At 54.0% G+C, this 23,176-nt stretch overlaps 1 protein-coding gene across 2 annotated transcripts in view, besides 2 other annotated features; it reads left to right on the forward strand.

The window, feature by feature from the left end:
• Window positions 1-22,487, forward strand: part of MAN2B2 (mannosidase alpha class 2B member 2) — a 48,174-nt gene extending 25,687 nt beyond the window's left edge. For both annotated transcript variants that reach the window (NM_015274.3, NM_001292038.2), the window contains exons 11-19: window positions 4,180-4,454; window positions 8,232-8,423; window positions 8,923-9,175; window positions 10,005-10,115; window positions 10,211-10,403; window positions 13,343-13,480; window positions 16,505-16,617; window positions 19,052-19,169; window positions 20,313-22,487. In NM_015274.3, the coding sequence (NP_056089.1) occupies window positions 4,180-4,454; window positions 8,232-8,423; window positions 8,923-9,175; window positions 10,005-10,115; window positions 10,211-10,403; window positions 13,343-13,480; window positions 16,505-16,617; window positions 19,052-19,169; window positions 20,313-20,410 (1,491 nt within the window). In that variant the 3' untranslated portion in view covers window positions 20,411-22,487. The remainder of the gene's footprint in view (window positions 1-4,179; window positions 4,455-8,231; window positions 8,424-8,922; window positions 9,176-10,004; window positions 10,116-10,210; window positions 10,404-13,342; window positions 13,481-16,504; window positions 16,618-19,051; window positions 19,170-20,312) is intronic.
• Window positions 1,007-1,301: a silencer, noted in NCBI's record as "tiled region #2687; K562 Repressive non-DNase unmatched - State 15:Elon". NCBI's record gives its function as "represses a minimal TATA promoter and a strong SV40 promoter by Sharpr-MPRA in K562 cells {active_cell/tissue: K562}" and the evidence as "EXISTENCE:reporter gene assay evidence [ECO:0000049][PMID:27701403]".
• Window positions 21,575-21,768: a silencer, noted in NCBI's record as "fragment chr4:6624177-6624370 (GRCh37/hg19 assembly coordinates)". NCBI's record gives its function as "represses an EF-1alpha promoter that drives an FKBP-Casp9 reporter gene in an ReSE screen in HepG2 liver carcinoma cells {active_cell/tissue: HepG2}" and the evidence as "EXISTENCE:reporter gene assay evidence [ECO:0000049][PMID:32094911]".
• Window positions 22,488-23,176: the final 689 nt, after the last annotated feature.

Raw genomic sequence — 23,176 nt, forward strand, 5'->3', positions numbered from 1 at the left:
GGAAACTGAGGCTCAGAGAAGCAAAGTGGGGTTTTTTTCCCAACACCACCCAATTCTCCACTTTTCTGACACCAACTGAGTGTCCTAAAATCAATTCATTCCTGAATTGAGTACCTGGAGTGAGCACAGACCCCACGAGTTAGGGGCCCAAAATCTCACAAGACCCCTAATTTCAGACACCAGCCACAAATGGGGTTCCTGGGCTACCACACTTGTGTCCTGCTGACTGAATTCTGGGGTTCCCATGATACACACACACACAAGTTTGATAATTCATTAGAACAGCTCACAGAACTCAGGCAAGTGCCATACTTACCATGACAGTTTTGTTAGAAAAGTTACAACTGGCTGGGTGTGGTGGCTCACGCCTGTAATCCAAACACTTTCGGAGGCTGAAGCGGGTGGATCACCCGAGGTCAGGAGTTCGAGACCATCCTGGCCAACATGGGGAAACCTCGTCTCTAACTAAAAGTACAAAAATTAGCCAGGCGTGGTAGCATGCACTGGTATAATAATTGGGAGGCTGAGGCAGGAGAATCGCTTTAACCTGGAAGGCAGAGGTTGCAGTGAGCTGAGATTGCGCCACTGCACTCCAGCCTGGGCAACAAGAGTGAGACTCCATCTCAAAAAAAAAAAAAAAAGAAAGGGTACAACTCAGGGACAGCTGCAGGGAGCACTGGTGAGGTGGAAGCAGGGAGGGCCTAGCATCCCAGCCCTCTAACCCGGGCTCGCTTCCTTGGGAGCAGCCCCATCCTGAAGCCACCTATGGGCCTTGCCAGAAGGCACCTCCACAGCATAAGCTCAGATAAGGTTGGAAGGGGCTTGTTATGAACTTTAGAAGACACTCCTATCACTCAGGAAGTTCCAATGGTTTTAGGAGCTCTGTGGCAAGAGCTGCAGACAAAGACCAAATCTATCTATGTTTACTGTACCACACAGAGTCCCTGAGGTCACACAGCTGCGAGGTGGCAAACTCCCAACCTCCAAACCTTCCTTGGTCAATCAAAGCCGTGGTTCGAGTGAAAGTGTGACAGTCTGCCCTTGTAGGAAGACATCACCCAGGGACACACAGCCGTTGAGGGGAGTTGGATCTACCCAGCGGACTGATACTGGGCTTGGGGCATCCAATGTGGCCAGAAGCCGAGGGCCATCTGTGTCATCATCCCTGTCATCCCCTCATGCACTCGGAGGCCTGCTGAGACTAAGGGACTGGTCAAAGTCCCCCAGTGAGGAAGAGGTGGAGCAGGCTCCATATTCAAGCACCACCAGCCGTGAGCTGAGCCTTCCCCTGCACCCAGGCCTTGCACTGTGCCCAGCACTAATGGGGTCACGCTATGGGAGATAAGGGCCTCATCTGTCGCAGCCTGCTTGGGCTGCTATGACAAAGTCTCATAGGCTACATGGCTTAAATGACATACATTTATTTCTCACAGTTCTGGAGGCAGGAAGTCCAAGATCAAGGTGCCAGCATGGCCGGGTTCTGGTGAGGGCCTCTTCCTGCTTGCCATCTTCCTGTGTGTCCTCACATGGCACAAGAGGCCAAGGGAACTCTCTGAGGTCTTTTTTACGAGGGCACTAATCCCATTCTTGAGGGCAGCACCCTCCGACCTAATCACCTCCCCAAGGCCCCACTCCTAAGTGATGACTTGGAATCCGGACGTCAGCCATTTGAGGGGACACAGACATTCAGTCCGTGGCATCACTCATGCCAAGTGGGAGTTAGGAGGTGGCATTAGCCTTTCAACTGTTGTGCCCTGCTTACACTTTTTAAAACAATTTTTACTGTCAGTTTTCCTTTTTTTTTTTTTTTTTGAGACAAAGTCTCACCCTGTCATGCAGGCTGGAGTGCAGTGGCACAATCACAGCTCACTGCAGCCTCAACATCCCAAGCTCAAGTTGATTCTCCCACCTCAGTCTCCTGAGTAGCTGGGACCACAGGTGCACACCACCATACATGGCTAATTTTTTTGTTTGTTTTTTGGTAGAGGCAGGGTCTTACTATGTTGCCCAGGCTGGTCTCAAACTCCTGGCCTCAAGCAATCCTCCCACCTTGGCCTCCCAAAGAGCTGGAATTACAGGCATGAGCCACCACACCAGGCCTGTTCACACTCCTGTTTGCTGGGCCCCCTTGTATGGGCTGATCCCTAGAAAGGCCTCACATGTGGGAAGCTTTCCGTCACTCCCCTGCCTTTGGGAATATTTGTGATCTAATATGAATTTCCACCCTGGCATGTGGGAAAGCCTTCAGGAATCTTAAAGGGGTGCTTTAATGGAGGTGCCGATGTTAGGTATGGGGCTGGACTGCTTTTGTCCACACCACCCAGACACCCCACATGGGTCAGGCCAACTCCGGTTCCAGAGGGCGCCAGACACGCCACCCAGCTGACCCTTCTTGGGGAGGCGGAGGAGGGGCTGACATCACTCATTCACTCAGCAAAGCTCCCGAACGCCCATCCTGGGCCCAGCCCTGGGCTGGGTGCTGGGCCCCTGGACCTGAGCGAGGCCAGGCCCCATCCCAGGACACAGACATGGATGGTGACAGTGTGGAGTGGTGACTCGGGAGCCAGGGGAGGGGCCCTCGGCTGGAACTGAGACCGAGGAGGAGTTTGTCCAGCACAGGGAGAGGCGAAGGGAGGGTATGGGTCTGAGCAGACCCCCACACACACCCCTTCCCCACTCAGATGCAGTATCCGTTAGGAGTAGATTCCCTCAGCATACATTTCTGGAGCTCCTACTGTCTGTCAGCCCCTGTTCTAGGCGCTGGGGATGGTGTACTAACCAAACAGACAAAATCCCACTGCCTGGGGCATCTATTCCAGTAGGGGAGACAGGTGATAAGTAAAATAAGAAAAATATGGAATATGATAGGCGATGACCACCGTGAGGGGGACAGTCACTACAGCAAGTTGCAGGGGCTGGGGACACATTTTAAATAGGTGGGCCAGGCCGCATCAATGTGGGATCAGGCAGACAGGGAACAGGTATCTGCTGTATTTGGGATAAAGGCTGGGTCGGGAGGCGTGTACACCATTATTGGGGGGGCCTCCCCACTGGGGCACAGGAACTGAGGGGGCACAGTGCCCTCCTCCAGCCTCCCTCTCCAAATCAGACACCTTGGAGGTGAGCAGAGGCCAGGAGGGTTAACCTGGAAAAGTCCGTCCACGTGGGGATGAGAAGATTGGGGGATGGCCCCTCCCAGGAGAAGGTAGTCCAGGTGGAGGGCACAGCGTGGCACAGGCTCAGAGGCAGGAAACGGCAGGAGTGTCAGGAAGGAAGGGTTGGTGATGCTGGAGCCCCAAGGGCCAGAGGACAGAGTAAGGTCACCGCAGGGAGGAGGCTGGGTCCCAGAGGAGGCTTCCTTCCCCAGTTGCAGCAGACAAGAGTCTCGAAAAGCTTGCTTTGGTTGCTGCAGTGGATGGGTTGGTAGGCACAGGAGTGGATGTGGGGACAGCAGTGCAGATGCTGGGCAGTTACCTAGGGAGGGGCCACAGCAGCTGTGACCAGGCAGAGGCCACAGGGAAGGGAGATGAAAGGCCTCAAGAAGGCGGTGGGGGGCCTTGGTGGTGGGTGGGAGTGGCTGGAGGATGGGGGATGGGGATTCCTGGGGGATGGGGAAGGGGAGTGACTGAGGGATGGGATGACTAGGGGGTAGGGGTGGAGAAAGCCGGACAGCGGGGAGCAGAAGGTGCAGGGTAGGTGCTGGAAGGGCCATCGTTGGATGGGGATGCTGCAGGGAGCAGATTTGGGTGGGATGGGGTAGCTGGTGAGGTCAGCTGTTGACATCCACGTGGAGGCGTCAAACAAGAAGCTGTATTCGTGGATCTCGGGTTCCAGAAGAGGTCAGTGGATTTGGGTTTGCTTTTGGGAGTCATCACTTTGGTTGATGAAGGATGATTAAAGGAGCTGGGGGTGTTCAGGAGCTCCCAGTTCAGGAGGTGGGAGTAAGAGAAGCTTTGGGGACCCCAAGAACCAGCTATCTTCAGGTCGCTGAAGGGTTCTCCCAGGACTGATGTGGTTTGTGGGGGTCCAAGGGGAGAAAGCCAGAACTGGGGGCAGGGAGGAGAAATCGGCAGGATCCGAGAGATGGAAAGACACTGCTGCCTCAGCAAGTAGTGAGCACCCCATTCCAGAAAGTGTGAGAGCTGACAGTTAACAAGTCTCATCCTGCTGGCCTTGCAGATCCAGAACTCAACAGAGACCCCATCTGCGTATGACCTGCTTATTCTGACCACAATCCCAGGCCTCAGTTACCGGCACTACAACATCAGACCCACTGCAGGGGCCCAAGAGGGCACCCAGGAGCCGGCTGCCACTGTGGCGAGCACCCTTCAATTTGGCCGCAGGCTGAGGAGACGCACCAGCCATGCGGGCAGGTACTTGGTGCCTGTGGCAAACGACTGCTACATTGTGCTGCTCGACCAGGATACCAACCTGATGCACAGCATCTGGGAGAGGTAAGGTGCAGCCATTGCTGTCTCTGAGGCACAGGCATGCCTGGAGCCTGGGCATGTCAGGCCCCTACCTGGATTCTCCATTTGCTCACTTGCCTGGGGGAAGGACAGATGGTGGTGAAACCCCTTCCTGCTATTGTGATCTTTAATTTTAGAAGTGTGAGCCTGGGCCAGTGCAGGAAAGGCTTTCTTATACTTTTTCATTCCAGGGCTATTGATCCATAGAAAAAAATGAGCACTGAGGGACTCACTCTGGGAAAAAAAAATTACCACTTTTTTTTTAATTTAGAGAAACATAAAATCTCTATTCAGTAAATAGTGTTACTGTCTTTAAAGCAGGACGGGACTTTCAAAATCATCTAATCCCACCCACCCACCTGTCTACTTACCCATCTATTCACCCACCCACTTATCTACCCACCCAGTTATCCATCCATCCACCCAATTATCCACCCACTCATCCATCCACTCACCCACTTACCCATCCATCCATACATCTACCTACCCACCCATTCATCATCCATCCATCTACCCACCCACCTATGTACCTACCCATTCATCCATCCATCCACTCACCCAACCACCCATTCATTCATTCATTCATTCATTCATGTATTCATTCAGCAGCTATTTGTGGACATCAGAGTGGGCAGCTGACCTCCCAAGAAAGACCTCGTGGCTGGTTTATCCTTCCTAGGCCACGTCCGGTGGAGTCTTCATCAGGCCCAGCTGCCTCTGCCAGAATACTCACCTTGTCTCCTGATGTGACCTTCTAATGGAGAGGGGTACATGGCAGAAAGTGAGGGGACAGGAAAGGGGAGAGGGGAGACAGAAAAAGAGGAGGGAGAGAAGAAGGGAGAGGGGCATTTGTACTGAGGTGGGTATCAGGGGAGCTCAGCTCAAGGTCACTGTCAGCAGCTCCCTGCCCACAGAGCTCCAGGACTTCTCTGGGAATGGGGCCCCAGTCAGGTCTGTCCTCATCTTTCCCCAGTGGCTCCTGAGGGAAAGTGGGGCAGGTGCAGGGGTGACAGCAGCCAGCATGGGTGGCTGGCAAGGGGGGAGTTGGGCAGAGGAGCTGCAGAAATGGGAGAAACCCCAGCATGGTCCAAGCCTGCCAGGTTAGGCCAGGAGAGGCAGAATGTGCCCTGTCCGTTCCTCACTCAGGCCCCATGCCCCCTCTGTACATGCCCCTTAGGGCAGCCCACGGACCCCACATGCCTAAGCCAGGGTCCCACCCGGCATTTCCAGCACTGGAGCTCAGGCTGTCCTGTCCCGTTTGTGGCCCTGTCTGTCTCTCTTGTTTTGAACTCCAGTGAGGACAAAGGAGTTCTTATTGGGCTCCCAAAACCCCACCAGGGGTAAGCCTTGCAAAACCAGTGCCTGTCACCTGAGCAGAAAGGAGGAGCTGTTGGTATTCAGAGTAGGGGCCATCGGGAGACGACACCTGGGGCCAGGCCCCAGGCCTCGAAGGGCATAGGGGAGGTTGCTCCATAGGAAGGAGACAGCCTGTGCAGAGGCCTGGGGTGGGAAGCCAAGGGTGCAGACACCAACCCCAGGGCAGTGTGGGTTGAAGGGAGCGCTTCTGTTCCTTATGTAACAGCTTGACTGAGATGCACTTCACATAACACACAATTCACCCATTTAAAGTGGGCAATTCAGTGGTTTCTGGTGCATTCACAGAGTTGTGCAGCCATCACCACAATCAATTTTAGAACGTTTTCATTACTCCAGAAAGAAACTTCATGCTGTTGAGCAATCACTCCCCCACGGGCCCTGGCAATCCTAGACTATTTCTGTCTATATGGATTTACCTGTTCATACAATATGTGGTCCTTTTGCAACTCACTTCTTTCACTTCACATATTTTTCCCCCTTTTTATTGATTGATTGATTGATTGAGAGAGTCTCACTCTGTAATCTAGGCTGGAGTGCAGTGGCACAATCATGGCTCACTGCAGCCTCAACCTCCTCTGGGGCTCAAGTGATCCTCCCACCTCAGCCTCTTGAGTAGCTGGGATTACATGTGCATACCACCACACCCAGCTAATTTTTGTGTTTTGCAGAGATGGTGTTTCACCATGTTGCCCAGGCTGGTCTCAAACTCCTGAGCTCAAGTGATCCACCTGCCTCAGCTTCCCAAAGTGCTGGGATTACAGGCTTGAGCCACCATGCCCAACCCACAACCCACTTAGCATGTTTTCAAGGTTCATCAGTATCGTAGCACGTATCAGTACTTCGTTCCTTTTCATGGCAGAATACTATTCCATCGCATGTATGTACCATATTTTGTTTATCCATTCTTTAGTTGATGGACATTTGGGTTGTTTCCACGTTTTAGCCACTATCAATAATGCTGCTCTGAACATTCATGTACAAGTTTTTGTGTGGACATACATTTTCGTTTCTCCTGGGTACATAGCTAGGAGTAGAATTACTCAGTCACAAGCTAACTCTATGTTTAACTCTTTGAGGAACTGCCCGACCGTTTTCCAAAGCGGCTGCACCATTTTCTGTTCCTCCCAGCAGCAGATGAGGGTTCTGATTTCTTCACATCCTCGCCCACACTTGTTATTTTCTGTCTTTTCAATTATAGCCATTCTCGTGGGCGAGAAGTGGCATCTCATGATGGTTTCGATTTGCATTTCCCTGCTAACTAATGGTGTTGAGCATCTCTTCATGTACTTACTGGTCACTAGCATATCTTCTGTGGTGAGATGTGTCTTTAGATCCTTTACCTATTTTTAAATTGGCTTGTCTTTTATTATTGAGTTGTAAGAGTTCTTTATATATTCTAGCTACAAGTCCCTTGTCAGATTTATGATTTGCAAATCCCTCCTCCCATTCCATGGCTTGTCTTTTTACTCTTTTGATGGCCCCTGGGGGAGCTTTTTAAAAGGATCGTGCGGGGAAGGGGTCCAGGGCCAGAGGCCTCAATTCTTTTCTTTCTCCTCCTCCACCAGCACTCAGTAGAACCCTCCACAGCCTGCCTCCCTTTCCTTCCCCACCCTCACCACAATCCCACAGAGAAGTGGGTGCAGAGGCCATCCACCTCATTGTCCGCCCACAGCCAGGCCAGACTCAGATACAAATACATCACTTGTGCACTTGGTTAGGCCAAATATTGCATTTTACAATTAAAATACTTGACCCCCTCCTGCTCTTCTCCCATCCTCTGTCCTAACACAAACATCCTAATAGAAGGGAGGGAGCACAGAATTTAAAGTCGGGGCTGAATTTGAGTTCTGGCTTGCACACTTCCTAGATGTGTGATCTTGGGTACATGATGTCACAACTTCCAGCCTCGGATGCCTCGGGAGTGGGATGGGTTAACAGTCCCTGCCTTTGGGGGTTGGGAGAATTTAACCAGGTGAAGTCAGTGAAGGCTCTGGCCCATGACATGGGGTCTGTACACATGGGTGTCCTGCTGGACAGCTCAGAGTCAGCATGACAAAAGCCCGTTCCTGCACTGGTTTCGCTTGCAGACCACAGCCTGGGTGAGCCAGTTCCATCTCTTGGGGGTGCCCTCTGCTGACGGCTCACGGTTCCTGTCTGCAGGCTCTGTCCGTCTCCTCGTTTGTGACCCATTCTGGGACAGCATGGAGTCTAAGGCCACACTGGCTGTGGGTGGGGTCTCAGGGCTTCTAGATGAGCTGAGTCACATGGCCTCGTGAGTGCTACGCAGGCCACTCAGATGGCATCTGGAGAGAGAGGCTTGCCAGCCGGTGTCTGTAAGACCTTGTGCAGGATGAGAATGACATCTTCTCTCTCCTGCCTCTGCAGACAGAGTAACCGAACGGTGCGCGTGACCCAGGAATTCCTGGAGTACCACGTCAACGGGGATGTGAAACAGGGCCCCATTTCCGATAACTACCTGTTCACACCGGGCAAGGCCGCGGTGCCTGCGTGGGAAGCTGTGGAAATGGAGATTGTGGCGGGACAGCTTGTGACTGAGATCCGGCAGTACTTCTACAGGTGCTTCCCCTGGGGTGACCCCCACAGCCCGGCACACAGTCAGCGCACGCGTGCAGGCAGCTCAGTGAATGAGGGTCTGTCTTTGCTCTGAACCCCAGCTTCCGGGCCGTGGTTGACACGTGGTCTGATGAAGAAATGAATTGCTCTGGTGTCTGCATGCTGGCTGCGTTTGCGTGTGCTGTGTCACGTTGGTTGGGAGCTAAGTTCAGAGCTGGGAGAGAGACCCACAGACCCTGGGGCCCACAGAGCACCTGTTCTTCCATGATCAGAGCAGACGTAAGGCAGGCCCGGCATGGCAGCCCTGCGGTGTCGGGGAACCAGGCTGCTCCCAGCCGCTCGGGGTCCTGGGTGGTGCTATTGTCCACATGGCCCAAGAAGGCTCCCTGCCTTTCGGCGTACCCTGCCCTGCCCACCCTGCCCACATGAAGGAAGGGAAGCAAAAAGGAAGCATCTAGAAGGTTCCTGGAGCTTCACTTACTGATGCTCCCTTCTCCTCCAGGAACATGACAGCACAGAATTACACGTATGCAATCCGCTCCCGGCTCACCCATGTGCCGCAGGGCCATGACGGGGAGCTGCTCTGCCACCGGATAGAGCAGGAGTACCAAGCCGGCCCCCTGGAGCTGAACCGTGAGGCTGTCCTGAGGACCAGCACCAACCTAAACAGCCAGCAGGTCATCTACTCAGACAACAACGGCTACCAGATGCAGCGGAGGCCCTACGTTTCCTATGTGAACAACAGCATCGCCCGGGTATGTCCTGCAATGCCCACAAGGCACGCTCCCAATGGCGCCTTTCCTGGACCCATTAAGCATCAAATTGCAGCAGTAGAGGCCAGTAGAGGCCTCCAGTGAGAATGTTTTTTTCCTTTTTTTTAAGATGGAGTCTCACTCTGTCACCCAGGCTGGGGCGCAATGGAGCGATCTTGGCTCACTGCAACCTCTGCCTCCCAGGTTCAAGCGATTCTCCTGCCTCAGCCTCCCGAGTAGCTGGGATTACAGCCGCCTGCCACCATGCCCAGCTAATTTTTATATTTTTAGTAGAGATGGGGTTTCACAATGATGGCCAGGCTGGTCTTGAACGCCTGACCTCAGATGATCCACCCGCCTCAGCCTCCCAAAGTGCTGGGATTACAGGTGTGAGCCACCGCGCCCGGCCTCCAGAGAGAATTCTTTTAAAGCCTGTGTATCTGCCCGTTCAGGGCTTGAGCGTGCAGGCTGTGAGTCAGACTGGTGTCTGAATTCTGGTGCTACCACAGACAAGAATAGTATGTGCCTTGGCTTGTGCCTCGGTTTCCTCTCCTGTAAAATGGCTCCTTCATCAAAGGGTCATTCTGAGGATCCATGAGATGATGCGTGGCCAGGGCTTGGCCAGGGCCTGCACCCATGTCAGCTGAGCTGTATGCTAGGAAGCCACAGAGCTGGTGTCTGAACCCCAGTCTGTTGGTCTCCAAAGTCAGGGTCCCAGCCCCATGCTGCTGCTGTGCCTATGGGGAGCACCAGCTGGGGTGGCCAGAGGGTGATGCCTGACCTACCTTGCCCTTTGCCCCAATCGCCCACCTGGCGATGTTTCTGTCTGCAGAATTACTACCCCATGGTTCAGTCGGCCTTCATGGAGGATGGCAAAAGCAGGCTTGTGTTGCTGTCGGAGCGGGCACATGGCATCTCCAGCCAAGGGAATGGGCAGGTGGAGGTAGGAGGCACGGTCTGTCCTACAGCAGCCCCTCGCGGCCCCCTACAGGCATGCCCAGGTGCAAGCCGGGCCTCTCGGACAATGCCTTCCCGCAGGTCATGCTCCACCGGCGGCTGTGGAACAACTTCGACTGGGACCTGGGCTACAACCTCACGCTGAACGACACCTCAGTCGTCCACCCAGTGCTCTGGCTTCTGCTGGGATCCTGGTCCCTCACCACTGCCCTGCGCCAGAGGAGCGCACTGGCGCTGCAGCACAGGCCCGTGGTGCTGTTCGGAGACCTCGCTGGTAAAGGGGCACCCTTTCAGAGTAACATCATCACTGCCTCAGCACCAGCCAGGCCAGGGCGGGCCTTGGGAGGGGCCTGTGCCCTCATGACTCTGGGCAGCTTTTGGGCAGGAAGCGACCTCAGGGACCTCTAGCCCAAGCCCCTCATTTAACAGATGGGCAAACTGAGGGCAAACAGTGGCTCACTTAAGGTCATACAACTAGGAGGTACAGAGCTGGGACTCACCCATTTCACCATATGCCTCTTCCCTGTATCTTCTCCATTTTCTTCTCTGATGTATCTTTTCCTTTCTTAATATGACATTATGTCACCATGTCACTTTAGGTCTGGAGGCTTAGCATTTAAAAGACTGGTTTGTTAGCTGGGCATGGTGGCGCATGCCTGTAATCCTGTAATGCCAGCTACACGGGAGACTGAGGCAGGAGAATCGCTTGAACCCGGGAGGCAGAGGTTGCAGGGAGCTGAGATTGCACCGTTGCACCCCAGCCTGGGTGGCAAAGCGAGACTCTGTCTCAAAAGTAAAAATAAAAGACAAGTTGGGTCTGAATCTAGGTGTGCTGTCACCAGGTGGGGGTCTTTCTAATCTATAGTCTAACCTAAAGGACTTATTCTGTACCTCCACTGAGCTTCTGTAGATCAGATCAACAACCATGTAGTTCTGTGTCTCTATAAAGTAGCAGAACATGAGAAACATTAAACAATGATTACATTTAAAGATGGTCTTTTGGAGCTGCAAGACCTAGATACAATTTGCTGCCATTCTCACTAATCCTTAAACTCTTTTCTTTTTCTACTCACCTATGGAGGTTTTGATTAGCATGTGCTTTTAAGGTTCTCCCTGCTTTGGTTTTAGAGCCAGAACCCAGGGCAGTAGCCAGCAGGCAGGCTGTCACTCACCCATGCAACAAGCATATACTGAGCACTTGCAGTGTGCCTGTGCCATACACTGGAGATGCAGAAGAGCAGCCCGGACCCAGGAGAGTTTTCCTGGGCTGTTGGACAGGGGAGGCATGCTCGTATAGAGCCAGGATTCAGGGTGGAGAAGGAGCCATGCCATAGAGGGCCTGGTGTTTCGTGGGTGTAGAGGAGTGTGAGACCACAGCTGGGAGGAGGTCAGGGATCAGGTCCAGGGGGTGTCAATTAAGGTTCTTTGGAAGTAACAGAGCCTGAAGGGGCAGCTATTTGGGCAGAGCCTGGAGAAGCTCATGGAATCTAAGGAGGAGCTGGATACAAGGTCCAGACAGGCATGGGGCAGGGCAGCTCTAGGCATATCAGGAGCAGAGGCTCACAGCCATGTCTCCCAGGACGGCCATTGAGCCACCTCTGGTTCCCTTGCTTCAGATTCCCAGAAGAGGAAATCTGATTGGCCTAGCAGGGTCAGGTTCTGCTCCCAGACCAGTCAGTGGTTCCTTCTGTGTAGCTGGGGCTTTTCCTGCAAAGGGAGATGAGGCCATGTCTGAGAAAGCCCCATGGCTGTTGTCAGCTCCATCCCACCTGGCCTCACTCTGGTCTCTGTTGGTTGCAAGTAACGGAAACCCAACTTGAACTAGCTGAGCCCCCAGGGAGAGTGTATGGTGAGGCCCACATAACCAAGGGAAGGGCAGGGTGTAATTGGGCCTCAGGGCCTGGAGCCCTCGTGAGGCTGTCCTTGTTCGTCTCTCACCTGCACTTCTCTCTGTCTGCAGACTTTCCTTCACCTCCCACCTGGGATGTGACTCTGAACAGCTCTGGGGCTGCTCTCAAAGAGCAGCTCTGTCTTCCCCACTCAAAAGGACCTAAGACTTGGACTTTCCAGTTCCAAGTGCAAAAGTCCTAGGGAAAGATTCTGATTGGTCCTACTGGGGTCAGGTGGCCCATGCCTGGACCAATCAGCATGGCCTGGGGTATTGTAAGAAGATGGTAGCTCCAGCTGAACATCTAGACCTGAAAGGAGTAGGGGCTGAGGTGCCTTCTGAGCAGAGAGACCAGTAGATGACAAAACAGGGGTGGAACTGGCATCCCAGATCTTGAGTAGAAAACAGGGTTCTGGCCGGACATGGTGGCTCACACTTGTAATCCCAGCACTTCGGGAGGGCAAGACGGGAGGATCTCTTAAGCCCAGGAGTTTAAGACTAGCCTGTGAGACCCTGTCTCTACAAAAAAATTTTTAAAAATTGGCCAGGGTGGTGGCCCATAGTCCCAGCTACTTGGGAGGCTGAGGTGGGAGGATAGTTTGAGCTCAGGAGTTTGAGACTGCAGTGAGCTGTGATTGCACCACTGCACTCTGGCCTGAGTGACACAGCAAGTCCCTATCTACAAGGAAGGAAGGAAGGAAGGGAGGGAGGGGAATGGAATGGAAGGGAGGGGAGGGGAGGGGAGGGAAAAGAAGAGAGGGATGGAAGGAAGGAAAGAAGGGAGGAAGGAAGGAGGGAAGGAAGGAAGGAAGTGAGGGAGGGAGGGGAAGGGAAGGGAACGGAAGGGAGGGGACGGGAGGGAAAAGAAAAGAAGAGAGGGAGGGAAGGAAGGAAAGAAGGAAGAAAGGAAGAGGGAGGAGGAAGGAAGGAAGGAAGGAAAAAAGAGGGAGGGAGGAAGAAGGAAGGAAAAAAACGAAGGAAGAAAGGAGAGAGAGAGGAGAGGGCTGTGCCTGAACTTGCCTTGTTATCTTGAATAAGCTTTGTGCCCTCTGAGCTCTTTCCTCGTCTCTACTTTGAGATGGTTAGGCTGAGGAGAGTCAGGGTCCTCCCAGCTCTTAAGCTCTATGGTCTGAGCAAAGGCAGGGAAGTGGAGGCCTGGGGCATTGGGAGCACAAACACTTTGGGCTGGTGCGGGGTAGGCTACCCACAAGGATGCATGGGAAGTGGCTGGCAGGGGCAGGGGCATGTAATGTGCAGAGCTCTGAGTGCCAGGAGGAGGAGTTGAGCCCCAAACCCTCTCCTCACTCTGTCCATCTGCCTTGCAGGGACTGCGCCGAAGCTCCCAGGACCCCAGCAGCAAGAGGCCGTGACGCTGCCCCCGAATCTTCACCTGCAGATCCTGAGCATCCCTGGCTGGCGCTACAGCTCCAACCACACGGAGCACTCTCAGAATCTCCGGAAAGGTGAGGCAGGTGCCCTGGCGTCTCAGACCTGCTCCTCCCTCCCTGAGTCAAACAGGCCACCGGGCCCACCACCAGACAGGGGCTCACCTTAGAGCTATCATGGCTCTGCAAGGTCACCTGGTTTCTTATCTGGCACATGGGGAGAGTGAGGCCCAGGGAGAGTCAGTGATCAGTCACTTGGCAAGCTGGAGGCGAGGTGGGCCTGGCCCCCAGCCCTGTGACCCCAGCGCATTCTGAATGGATCCCTCTCAGCCTGCCACCCCCAGCTGAGACTAAGGAACTAGTTAAAGTCCCCCTGACCCCCAGGTTGCCTGCCAGTCCTACTTCTTCCAGGGAAACCTCCTGGAGCCCCCAAACACCCAAATTCCCACTCATCCTCCAAGTTCAGGCAGCCTAACTCTTGGGAGTTTCCACTCACTCATTCAACAGCACGTCTCGTGCCAGGCTCCGGGGAATGAGCAATGACCAAGGTGGGCAAGGTCCTGGCTTTCTGAGCGCTTGGTCTAGAGCAGAAGCAATCAAGTCACCAGGCAGTAATGACAAGGACAAGAGGAATCCCCCTGCACAGCATGATGGGGGGCTCCCCGAGGAGGCGACACCTGCTGGGAACTGACTTGTCCTGTTGCCAGAGCCCCAGCTGCACCTCCTCTGCCCCCTCTACACCGTGAGCAGTGGAAAGGCAGGGTCAGACTGTGCCTCAGCCATCCTCAGGTCCCCAAGGCCTGGCACACCTGCAGAATTAAGAATACGAGGAAAAGGGTGGGGCGCAGTGGCTCACACCTGGAATCCCAGCACTTAGGGGATCCGAGGCAGGCGGATTGCTTGAGCCCAGGAGTTCAAGACCAGCCTGGGCAGCATAGGAAGATCCTGTGTCTATAAAAATAAAAATAGAAAAGTTCTCTGGTCATGGTGGCGTGTGCCTGAGCCTGCTTTCCCAGGCACCTGCAGCCGCCTTGTGAAATGGGATCCCTCACCATTCCTGCTGTGTGGGACACAGGAGGCCTTCCCTGACTTTGGAGCTGGAACTCCTCACCACCACACCAGGAGATGTAGAAGCACTTTCACAAACCTCTTGGCTTTTGTGATCTTGGGCAGTCATTCCCCTGTGCCATTCTGAAAACCAGCTACCCCATAGCCCCATGATAGCTTCTTAAAAATGGGCCAGGCAAGGTGGCTCACATCTGTAATGCCAGCACTTTGGGAGGCCGAGGTAGCAGGATCACTTCAGGCCAGGAGTTCGAGACCAGCCTGGGCAACATAGCTAGACTCTGTCTCTACAAAAAAAAATTAAAAAATTAGGCGGGTGTGGTGATGCTTGCCTGTGGTCCCAGCTACTCAGGAGGCTGAGGTGAAAGGATCACTTGAGGCCAGGAGTTCAAGGCTGCAGTGAGCTGTAATCATGCTACAGCACTCCAGCCTGGGCAACAGAGCAAGACCCTGTCTCTAAAAAAATTTTTTTTTTCTTTGAGACAGAGTCTCAATCTGTTGCCCAGGCTGGAGTGCAGTGGTGTGATCTTGGCTCACTGCAACCTCCACCACCCAGGTTCAAGCAATTCTCCTACCTCAGCCTCCCGAGTAGCTGGGATTACAGGTGCCCACCACCATGCCCAGCTAATTTTTGTATTTTTAATAGAGACAGGGTTTCACTGTGCTGACCAGGCTGGTCTCAAACTCCTGACAGCAGGCAATCCGCCCTCCTTGGCCTCCCAAAGTGCTGCGATTACAGGTGTGAGCCACCACACCCTGCCAAAATTTTTTTTTTAATACTGATGCCTCAATTCTAATCCCAGACAGATTGATTTAGTCAGCTTTGAGGCATAGCTGCAGAGCTGAGGTTCTACCAGCCAGGGTTTAGGAAGCACCTGTGTTAACCAGGTCCTCTCTCCAGGACCTTGAACTCAGTGCTTTCCTCTGAGCCTCGGTCTTCCCATCTGTAAAACGGGAGCAATGGCAATGAGCCTTTCTGAGTGGGAAGATCAGGGATGGGACAGGAGATCACATACATCATGTGGCAAATGACAGCATTATATCAGTCAGGGTGGCTGGCGTATGCTGCAGTAACAAAGAGCCCCGAATGCCCACGGTCTTAACAGTATATATTCATTTCTCCCCCATGCTGTGCATCCAGTGGGGTTAGCAGGAAGGTTTTTCTTGCTGTGGCCACCACGCCCCCCGCTGATGGAGTTTGTATTGCAGCACGTGCTTCCTCACTCACCATGGCAAGAAAAAGCTTCTGCCGGGAAGTACTGCGTCACTTCAGCTCACTTTGCATTGGCCACAGAGGCCACGCAGCCTCCCCTGACTTCAAAGGGGGCAGGGTAGGAGAGACTGGAGTATTTGAGGACATGCCCCAATATGCCCACAACAGTGGACGAGGATGGAAACATTGCAGCTGGTGTCATGGTGGGCAGCCTTACAGTCGGCCAGACCTGGGTGGGAATCCTCCCTCTGCCGCGCACCAGCTGTATGCCTTGGGCACGTGACTGCCCCTCTCTGAGCCTTGGTTTCCTTGTCGAGTGGGGGCCATGTCAGCTGTCTCACATGGAGTCTATTAGTCTGTTCTCATGCTGCTCATAAAGACATACCCGAGACTGGGTAGTTTATGAAGAAAAAAGGTTTAATGGACTCACAGTTCCACCTGGATAGGGAGGCCTCACAATCATGGCAGAAGGCAAATGAGGAGCAAAGTCACGTCTTACATGGTGGCAGGCAAGAGAGCGTGTGCAGGGGAACTGCCCTTTACAAAATCATCAGGTCTCATGAGACTTATTCACTATCACAAGAACAGCACAGGAAAGACTCACCCCCATGATTCAATTACCTCCCACCAGGTCCCTCCCACAACATGTGGACATTATGGGAGCTACAATTCACGATGAGATTTGGTTGGGGACACAGCCAAACCATATCGAGGAGGTTACAGATAGGAAATGGAGCTGAGTGTGTAAAGCAGCGGGTATAGACCAGGGACATTGGGGTTGGTTGATGAGGGTCTTCACTGCCACCTTCCTTCTGTCCCCAAAGGCCATCGAGGGGAAGCCCAGGCTGACCTCCGCCGTGTCCTGCTGCGGCTCTACCACCTATATGAAGTGGGCGAGGACCCAGTCCTGTCTCAGCCAGTGACAGTGAATCTGGAGGTGAACTTCCCCACCCCCATCCAGACCATAAGCCAGGGAAGCAAACCCTAGATGAAGCCCCAAGAAACTGCCTTGGCAAAGAGATCCACGAGGGCTTCCTCCCAAATGGACGCTGGTATGGGCCCCACCCCGCCCTTCTTCATGGTCTTCTGGGTTTGTCAGGTATTACAACTGGCCTGGTTTTTTAGGGTTTTTTGTGTATATGTGAGACAGGATCTCACTCTGTTGCCCAGTCTGGGGTGCAGTGGCACAATCTCAGCTCACTGCAACCTCTGCCTCCCTGGCTCAAGTGATCCTCCCACCTCAACCTCCCAAGTAACTGGGATCACAGGGGCGCGCCACCACGATGGCTAAGTTTTTTTTTTTTTTTTTGAGACCGAGTTTCGCTCTCGTCCCCCAGGCTGGAGTGCAATGGTGCGCTCTCAGCTGGCTGCAACCTCCATCTCCCAGGTTCAAGTGATTCTCCTGCCTCAGCCTCCCGAGTAGCTGGGATTACAGGCATGTGCCACCACGCCCGGCTAATTTTTTTGTACTTTTAGTAGAGACAGGGTTTCTCCATGTTGGTCAGGCTGGTCACGAACCCCTGACTTCAGGTGATCCACCTGCCTCGGCCTCGCAAAGTGCTGGGATTACAGGCGTGAGCCACCAAGCCTGGCCTAGTTTTTTTATTTTTAGTAGAGACACGGTCTTGCTGTGTTGCTCAGGCTGGTCTCGAACGTCTGGCCTCAAGCAATCTGCCTGTCTTAGCCTCCTGAAGTGCTGGGATTACAGGCGTGAGTGGCCTGTATTTTCTTTCTTATTTATTCTGTGGTAAAACTTTTAAAACACAGACAACATCTGTGTAATCCAAAAACAAAACAGATTCCCCATAGAGTTGCTTTGAAAGGTGACTTAGAGTCAGACAATCCAGGGTCCACACCCAGGCCCCTCTACGGGGGCATCTCCGGCACCCCATGCCTCTGGGCCTCAGTTTCCCCCCATGTAAAATGGGGAGAGGTGAGAGTTCTTTGCCCAGAAGGTTGCTGAGAGGCCCTGGCACTAAGGGGCCTCGTGCAGTGTCAGGGCCCCCAGGCCTCGTCCCCTTCCAGGTTCCCCTCTTGGCTGATGTTGCCCTCTCAGCTCTACTATCAGGCGAGGCTTCCGCCACCTGGCCTGCCCACGCTCCCTCCCCAGAAGGCATGACCTGAGCCGCCTCATTTCTTTCCCAGTTTGCATTCTTTCTATTTCATTTCCTGCTCATGGAGAATTTCTGTGAATCTCTGTGTTTCTGCCTTGGGCCTCCTTCGACATCTGAGTCTTCAGGGGAATCCAGAGAAGCCCCAGTACCTTTTCGCCATGATGTCTTACTGGGCCACCCACCTCCTCTTTCATGATCCTCGCCACGGAGGATCCTTTCCTCACGGTCCCTGGCCTGCCTGAGAGCAGGTCTAGGCCATGGCGGGTACCAGTGCCCAGCACAGGGCCAGCCTGCCCTGGGAAGCAAGGAGGCCAGCGTGGGACCTGGAAGTTGGTCATCTGATGCTCCCCCGTTTCACAGATGGAAGCACCAAGGCCCTGAGACAAGGAGACGGTTGGGATGGACACCATGACTCCCTGCCCAACGTGGACGGTGGTGGGGTGGAAAGACCATTGAGTTAGGAACGCAGTGAGTTTGGCTGCAAGTCACAAAACACCTAACAGATGTGCTTAGAACAGAGGACAGAGTGTTTTCTCACCGAACAGGCATGTCCGATGGACCCCAAGCGCTGTCACCGTGGGCCCGATCACTGTCATCTTCCCGCCATCGCCGGCAGACTGGCTTTTGTCTTTTGCCGTCTGCTTGTTTGCGGTCACAAGATGGCACAGGCCTCCCTCATGAGCAAATTTCAAGGCAGGGTAGGGCTCAGCAGTAGTGGCCAGAAAGGCCTTGCCCTAGCGTGGCTCTCTCCCTCCGTCAGCACACAGAAGCTTCTCCAAGAGCCACCCCCAGCCCTCCTGCTCCACAGACTTTTCCAGACCCCTAAGGGCCTCCTGCCTCCCCTAGGTGTAAGGGAGGCTGGGACAAGGCCTATTGGGAAAGGGGGATGGGGTAACTGTGGCTGGCTTCCTCCCTGGACTGGGCACGGGGCCACCTGAGCAATGTGGGGAGAGGAGAACTCCGCGGTGGGGTGGGCAGCTCAAAATGCCACACCTCCCGGGCTGCTCCTCCAGCTCGGCCACCTGGTAAAGCATGCACCTCCCGCTTCAGTGTCCTCATCTGTAAAGTACACGGCCAGTCCTGTCCTCGCAGATGTGCTGTGAGAAGCAGATGAGGGAGCTGTGTCAGGCACCAGGGGAGGACCTGGGCTCCTGAGGACACCGAGTTCGTGGTGTGTCTGCCCTGCTGCTGTCTTGGTTCTCTGCTCAGCTCTGGAACTTGGTGCAGCTCACTCTCCCTCTGCTCCTCTCCCTGCAGGCTGTGCTGCAGGCGCTGGGGTCCGTGGTGGCAGTGGAGGAGCGCTCGCTCACAGGGACCTGGGATTTGAGCATGCTGCACCGCTGGAGCTGGAGGACGGGGCCTGGCCGCCACAGAGGTTTGGGGACCCCCGCTTCAGCTCCCTACCCAGGACTCCCAGCCAGGCTCAGCAGCTGGTCAGACCCGGTGCACATCCAACCATCTGCCTGTCCCGGCCTGTGCGACCTTGCGAGGCTGCTTTCCTACTCTGAACCCGCAGCCCTCCCAAATCTACTACAGTCGGTTAAGAAAGGCTTTGGGTTAGTCTCTGCCTGCCAGGGCTCCACACAGGCGTGTGTGTGCACTTGTACGTGTGCACACGCAGACCACACGCCCTGCCTGTGCCCTGGGTGACAGCTAGGGGCCCAGGGGCTTCTGCCCACCTTGGCCCTGCTGACCTCAGCCCATCAGCCGGTCCCTGCCTCATACGACATGTGCCACCGTGAGCTCCTGCACTACAGGCAGCTTCCAGGCTCCACTCCCTGTCCGCACCATGCCCTCTGCCTGGGACGCACAGGTCCCATTCACTCTGGCCAGCACCTGCTCAAGCTCCCCAGGATGCCTCCCCAGAGTCACCAACCAGGCCAAGTGCCTCCTCCACTCTCCTGGCCCCAGGGGTTTCTTCTGTCCTGTGCAGCTCGTTGTCCACTACACACAGCATGGTGGCGGGTGCATGGTGCACGCTCAGTTGGTGGTGGGAGGAAGGAAGGGACGGAGGGAGGGAGGGAGGGAAGATGATGTTGGTTGGAAAGAAGGAAGGAAGATGGATGAGTGATAGATAAGTGGACGGCTCCCTCCCAAGATCGAAGCCCAACCCCAGGGCATGCCTTCAGGGGAGCCTGGTGAGGCAAGGGCAGACTCACCAGATGGTCTCAGAAAGCTCTTGGGCTTTGAGGGCAACACCCATGAGGAATTGAGGCCACTAGGGCCAGGACCAACCTATGAATTGCCCTCAGGGTGGGCAGAAACGCCAAGAGGCCCACAGGAGTCCTGGCAGAAGGGGATGCCATAGGCCGTTGCCACGGTGGGAGCCACAGCAGACTGTAGCCAGGTGCAGTGTGGTGAGAAGGAGGCTGGGAGCCACAGCAGATTGTAGACAGGTGCAGGAGGGTGAGAGGGAGGCTGGGAGCCACAGCAGACTGTAGACAGGTGCAGGGGGTGAGAGGGAGGCTGGGAGGAGGCATCCCAGGCCACACTGGACAGATCACCTCTGTTCCCCTAGGTGACACCACCTCTCCCTCGAGGCCACCAGGAGGCCCCATCATCACCGTCCACCCAAAGGAAATCCGGACGTTCTTTATTCACTTTCAACAGCAGTGAGCCCTGGGCAGATGCCCCGGCCCCAGGGCTTCCCCCAGGAACTCCATGTAACAGAACAGACCCAGGACAGGGAAAAGCAGTGCGGAGGGATGGGACTGGGGAGTCAGCTGCTCATCTGCAGGCTAATGGCAGGAAATGGTCATATTTGGGGTTTTTCCCTAATTTTTTTAAACAAAAATTACATTACAAGATCCAGGTTCTTCCCCCCCACACTCAATCAAGCCAGCCCTCTCCTCTTCTGTCACGTAAAGGATATTTGGCACACTCATGCGTCATTCATTCACAAAACACAAACCCAGGACTTTCTGCCTAAGGCAGAGCACAAGACTCACAGCAGCACCGAAGCGCATCTGCCGTCCGGGCCCTGCCAGGCTTGCCAGGCTGCCAGTGGTAACTGTGGACCTACTGCGTGCCACGTGTTTTCATAGACTCATCCCATGCTGGCAACAGCCCTGCAAGGGGCTTGGCTCTGCCACAGGGCAGGAGAGGAAGTTGTAGCGCCTAGCGAGAGTTCCAGCCCCAGACGCCCACCTGTGCCTCAGGGCACCGCCTGCCGAGCAGAGAAGGCACAGCAGCCGTCAGAGTCCATGAGAGGTGAAACCACACAGCAGGGATGTCCAATATCAGAACTATTAATATCAATAAAAGTATAACCTTCCCAGGTCTATGCCCAAGAGAATTGAAAACATCCATCCACACAATACCTGTGCTCCCGCGTTCATAGCAGCATTACTCAAAAGTCAAACGGTAGCAACAACCCAAATGTCCATCCACAGATGAATTAAGACATGAAGTGTGTTCTGTCCATACAATGGAATATTATTTGGCCATAAAAAGGAAGGAAATTCTGACGCATGCCACAGCCTGAGTGAATCCTACAAATATTACGCTAAGTGAAAGAAGCCAATCACGAGTTTATGTGAAATGTCCAGAATAGGCAAATCTGTGTATCAGAGACAAAGCACATTGGTGGTTGCCAGGTACTGGAGGAAGAGAGAAGAGGCATGACAGCTAACAGGGACGGGCTTTCTTTGGAAGATGATGAAATTGTGGAATGATGGTTGCACAACTTTGTGAATATACTAGAAACCAATGAATTAAAAACTTTGGAAGATGAATTTTATGGTCTGTGAATTATATCTCAATTTTAAAACTTTTTTTTTTTTTTCCCGAGACAGAGTCTCACTCTGTCGCCCAGGCTGGAGTGCAGTGTCAAGATCTCAGCTCACTGCGACCTGCACCTCCTGGGTTCAAGCAATTCTCCAGCCTCTGCCTCCCGAGTAGCTGCTACTAGAGATGCACCACTGCGTCAGCTAATTTTTGTATTTTTAGTAGAGACGGGGATTCACCATGTTGGCCAGGCTGATCTGGAACTCCTGACCTCAGGTGATCTGCCTGCCCCGGCCTCCCAAAGTGCCAGGATTACAGGCGTGAGCCAATGTGCCCGGCCTAAACCGTTTTAAAGAGTAAACTGTAAGATGTAGGAAATTATTTGGTACTCTAGGGCTGAAGGAAAGTACCCAGAAAGGACCAGCTTGGAAGGAGTCAGACCTCTGGACAACGTGCAGTTTGGCCACCAGACAGCAAAGACAGTCTCTGGTTTGGCCAGGCAGGAGCTGGGCTGGAGTTGCTGACCAAGCAATAGGCCACCCCTGTGAGGTGGGGTCAGGTGAGCAGCCACCAGAGGCATGGATGTGCAGTGGGAGGTTGAGGCACAAGGAGTGAGGCAGGAGCCCTTTAGAGCATGTGGGCTGCATGAGGCTTGGTTTCTGTGTCAAGAAGACTATGGAGGCTGGGCAGTGGTTCATGCCTTAATCCCAGCACTTTGGGAGGCCAAAGCAACCGGATCACTGGTGGTCAGTAGTTCAAGACCAGGCTGGCCAACATGGTGAAACCCCATCTCTACTAAAAATACAAAGTTAACCGGGTGTGGTGGTGTGCGCCTGTAGTCCCAGCTACTCGGGAGGCTGAGGCAGGAGAATCAATCACTTGAACCTGGGAGGCGGAGGAGACCTCCGCCTCTGCACTCCAGCCTGGGTGACAAGAGTGAGACTCCGTCTCAAAAAAAAAAAAAAAAGGAAGACTACGGAGGCCAGGCGTGGTGGTTCATGCCTGAAATTCCAACACGCTGGGAGCCCTAGGCAGAAGGATCGCTTGAGCCCAGGTGTTCCAGACCAGCCTCGGCAATATAGTGAGACCCCATCTCTACAAAAACTATTCTTTAGACGAGCGTGGTGGTGTGCACCAGTGGTCCCAGCTACTCTGGGGGCTGAGGTGGGAGGCTCACTTGAGCCCAGGAGGTCGAGGCTTCAGTGAGCCATGATCATGCCACTAACTCCAACCGGGGTAATAGAGCAAGACCCTGTCTCAGAAAAAAATAAAGAAGACTATGGAAATGTTATCCCCAGCGCAGCCAGGCTGTAGAAAAATCATGTGCACTGAAAGTACCATCACCCATGCTGACCATCCCCGTCCAGAACAGAAACAGCAAGAGAGCCACTTCCCCCTGCGGTCCCTCCAGCACCCAGCACCCTCAACTGGGAAGAGTGAGAAGAATATAGATGACAGGGGAAAACCCACCCACAATAGACAGAATATTGGCTAAAATCTAACATCCATTTGTTGCTTTGTTGTTATTTCATTTCATTTTACTTTTTTAGACACAGGGTCTCGCTCTGTCACCCAGGTGGGAGTGCAGTGGCACTATCATAGCTCACTGGAACCTCTTAACTCCTGGGCTCAAGTAGTCCTCCCATCCCACCCTCC

The sequence above is a fragment of the Homo sapiens genome, chromosome 4, assembly GCF_000001405.40.
Source record: "Homo sapiens chromosome 4, GRCh38.p14 Primary Assembly".
Lineage (NCBI taxonomy): Eukaryota > Metazoa > Chordata > Mammalia > Primates > Hominidae > Homo > Homo sapiens.